The sequence below is a fragment of the Homo sapiens genome, chromosome 16 (genome assembly GCF_000001405.40).
Source record: "Homo sapiens chromosome 16, GRCh38.p14 Primary Assembly".
Taxonomy (NCBI): Eukaryota; Metazoa; Chordata; class Mammalia; order Primates; family Hominidae; genus Homo; species Homo sapiens.
In genome coordinates this window covers 47,269,429-47,272,971 of record NC_000016.10, presented here as the reverse complement: position 1 = coordinate 47,272,971, position 3,543 = coordinate 47,269,429, and the positions used below count along the sequence as shown (strand labels likewise).

General features: G+C 35.8%; 1 protein-coding gene across 2 annotated transcripts in view; it reads left to right on the top strand.

Annotated features, from left to right (window-relative positions):
• ITFG1 (integrin alpha FG-GAP repeat containing 1) overlaps positions 1-3,543 on the top strand; it is a 306,856-nt gene that overhangs the window by 188,275 nt on the left and 115,038 nt on the right. The gene's annotated exons all lie outside the window — the stretch shown is intronic.

Here is a 3,543-nt window from a genome sequence, read left to right as displayed (position 1 = left end):
AACACCACCAATTTTATAGCCTTTGAAGATAAATTAAAACCAGCCTCAAAAAAATTGCATACTAGATATACAAATATTGGCATATTCAGAGAAGCAACATTTAATATGTACATTTTACACATTATGTCACTTAAACATTTACCATGGGTTTTTTAAATAGGTTGAAATGTTCTGCAGTTAACTTTTGTATTAACCACTTTGTTGAGATATAATTCACACACCATACAATTCACCCATTTATTCTATACAATTTAGTGGCTTTTAAAAGTGTATTCAGGCTGGGCGCAATGGCTCACGCCCGTAATCCCAGCACTTTGGGAGGCCGAGGCAGGCAGATCACTTGAAGTCAGGAGTTCGAGACCAGCCTGGCCAACATGGTGAAACCCCATCTCTACTAAAAATGCAAAAATTAGCTGGGCGTGGTGGCGCGTGCCTGTAATCCCAGCTACTCAGGAGGCTGAGGCAGGAGAATCACTTCTACCTGGGAGGCAGAGATTGCGGTGAACCGAGATCACACTACTGTACTCCAGCCTGGGCAACAGAGCTGGACTTCAATTAAAAAAAAATGTATTCATATTGTTGTGCATCCATCATCACAAGCAATTTTAGGACATTTTATTACCCTAAAAAGAAGCCCCATTCACCTTAGCTGTTACTCTCCAATTCCCCTACGACTTCGTCCACTGCCACCAGACCTAGGAAACCACTAATCTTCTTTCTGTCTCTATAGCTTTCTGTCTCTGTAGCTTTCTGTCTCTATAATTGGACCTGTTCTGAACATCTTGTATATGCAGTTATACAATATGTGTTACTTTATGACTGGTTTATTTGACTTGGTATAATGTTTTCAAGATTTTTCTATGTCGTAGTGTGTAGCAGTATTCCTTTCTTTCTGTTGTCAACAGACCATTATATGGTTATACTACATTTCATTATTCATCCTTCAGTTGATGGACATATGGGTTTTTTGCACTTTTTGGCTATTATGAATACTGCTGTGAACATTCATATGCAAGTTTTTATGTAGACATGTTTTCATTTCTCTTGAGATATACCTAGGAGTAGAATATTCTTTAGAGGTGGAACTCTGGTTTTTGTTGTTTGTTTGTTTTTGAGATGGAATCTCGCTCTGTCGCCCAGGCTGGAGTGCAGTGGTGTGATCTCAGTTCACTGCAAGCTCTGCCTCCCGGGTTCACACCATTCTCCTGCCTCAGCCTCCCAAGTAGCTGGGACTACAGGCGCCCACCACCACGCCCAGCTAATTGTTTTGTATTTTTAGTAGAGACGGGGTTTCACCATGTTAGCCAGATGGTCTCAATCTCCTGACCTCGTGATCCACCCGCCTCGGCCTCCCAAAGTGCTGGGATCACAGGCGTGAGCCAGTGCCCCGGCCAGAACTCTGTTTTTAACTGAGGAACCACCAGACTGTATTTCAAAGCAGGTTTGCCATTTTATATTCCCGTCTACATTATACAAGTATTCTCGTTTTTCTATATCCTCACCAACCTCTGTTACCTGTCTTTTTTATTTTAGCCATCCTGGTGGGTGTGAAGTGTTATTTAATTGTGGTTTTGATTTGCAGTTGTCTAATGGCTAATGATGTTGAGCTTTCTTCACGTACTTGTTGGCCATTTGTATCTCTTCCTTGGAAAACTATTCAGATTCTTTGCTTTTTTAATAATTGGGTTATTTGTCTTTTTGCTATTGAGTTGTAAAATTTCTTTAATACATTCTAGATACAAGTCCCCTATTAAATATGAGATTTCAAAAATTTTCTCCCTTTCTGTGGGTTGTCATCTTACTTTCTTGATAGTATTTGAAGCACAAACTTGATGATGTCAAGTTTATTTTTGTTATTTTTATTTGTGCTTTTATCATGAGAGTTTCATGTATTTTTAATAGCTTAATTGGGGTTTAATTGGCAGAGTAAATTACTTATCTTTAAAGGTTGTAAGTCGATATGTTTTGGTATACAAATGCATCTATAAAATATCACCACAATCAAGATAATGAACATATCCATCACTCACAAAAGTTTCCTCTTAACCCTGTGTAATCAGCACTTTCCCCATCCCACAGGAAACCACTGATCTGCTTTCTGTCGCTGTAGATTAGATTGCATTTTCTAATATTTTATATTAATGGAATCACACAATATCTGTTCCTTTATGTCTGGGTTTTCTTACGCTGCATAATAATATTGAGATTTATCCATGGTTTTACATGTATCTTTAGCTCTTTGCTTATTATTCCTGAGGAATATTCCATTGTATGGATGCATCACAATTTGCTTATATCCATTTACACGTTGATGAGCAATTAGATCTATATCAGGTCTGACTGCTACAAATAGTCAGCTGTGAACATTCATGTACAAGTTATTGTCTGAACATGTGCTTTCCTTTGTAAATACCAAGGAATGGGGTAGCTATGTCTTTTGAAACATGCATGTTTAACTTTTTAAGAAAATGGCAGACATGCCAGTTTCTCCACATTTTCTCCAAAATCGGTATGGTTGGTCTTTTTAATTTTATCTGTTCTGTTTGTAGTAGATGTTCTTGTAGTTTTAATTTTAGTTTATTTAATAAATTAGGATATTTGTTTTCTTATTATTGAATATTGAAAGATTTTTATATATTCTGGGTACAAGTCCTTTGTTATTGGATATGTCATTTGCAAATATTTTCTTGCAGATCTCTAGCTTATCTTTTCATTTTCTGAACAATGTCTTTCAAAGGGGAGAAGTATCTAGTTTTGGGAAAGTACCATATTTCAATTTTTTTTATAGATATGGTTTTAGTGTCGTAACTAAGAAATCATTACCTAACACAATGTTTTGCCCTAGAAATTGAAGAGGTCTGGATTTTACAATTTAGGTCTGTGATCCATTATATCCGAGTTCCTTTTTTGTAAATTGTTCCAACACCATTTATTGAAAATATTTTCTTTTTCCACTCAATTGCCTTTGATCCATGATGAAAATCAGTTGACAATATATGTTTGGGTATATTTCTTCATTCTCTTTTCTGTTCCCATGATCTATTGTCCATCTTTGTGGCAGTACCACACTTGATTACTATTGTTTAAAATGAGTAGTCAATTCAGATAGTATATGCCCTCCTTCTTTTCCAGAGTTATTTTGGCTGTTCTAGTTTCTTTGTATTTCCTATAAATTTTAGGGTCAGTTTGTCAGTTTCTGCAAAAGAAATACAAATAAAAAGTCTGCTGAGAATTTTATTGGGATTACAATGAAACTATAGGTCAATTTGGGGATAAATGACATCTTAACAATATTGCATCCTCTGACTATGAATGTAGTGCATATATAGCTTTTTTATTTTAGATGTTTAATTTTTTAACAGTGTTTCTAGTTTTCAATGTACAGGTCTTATGCATCTTTTGTCAGATTTATACCTAAGTAGTTTATATTTTTGATGCTATTATGCCTGGTACTTTTTTTTTTTCAAGTTTTTTTTTTTTTTTTTAATAGAGACAGGGTCTTTCTATGTTGCCCAGGCTGGTCTCAGACTCCTGGGCTCAAGC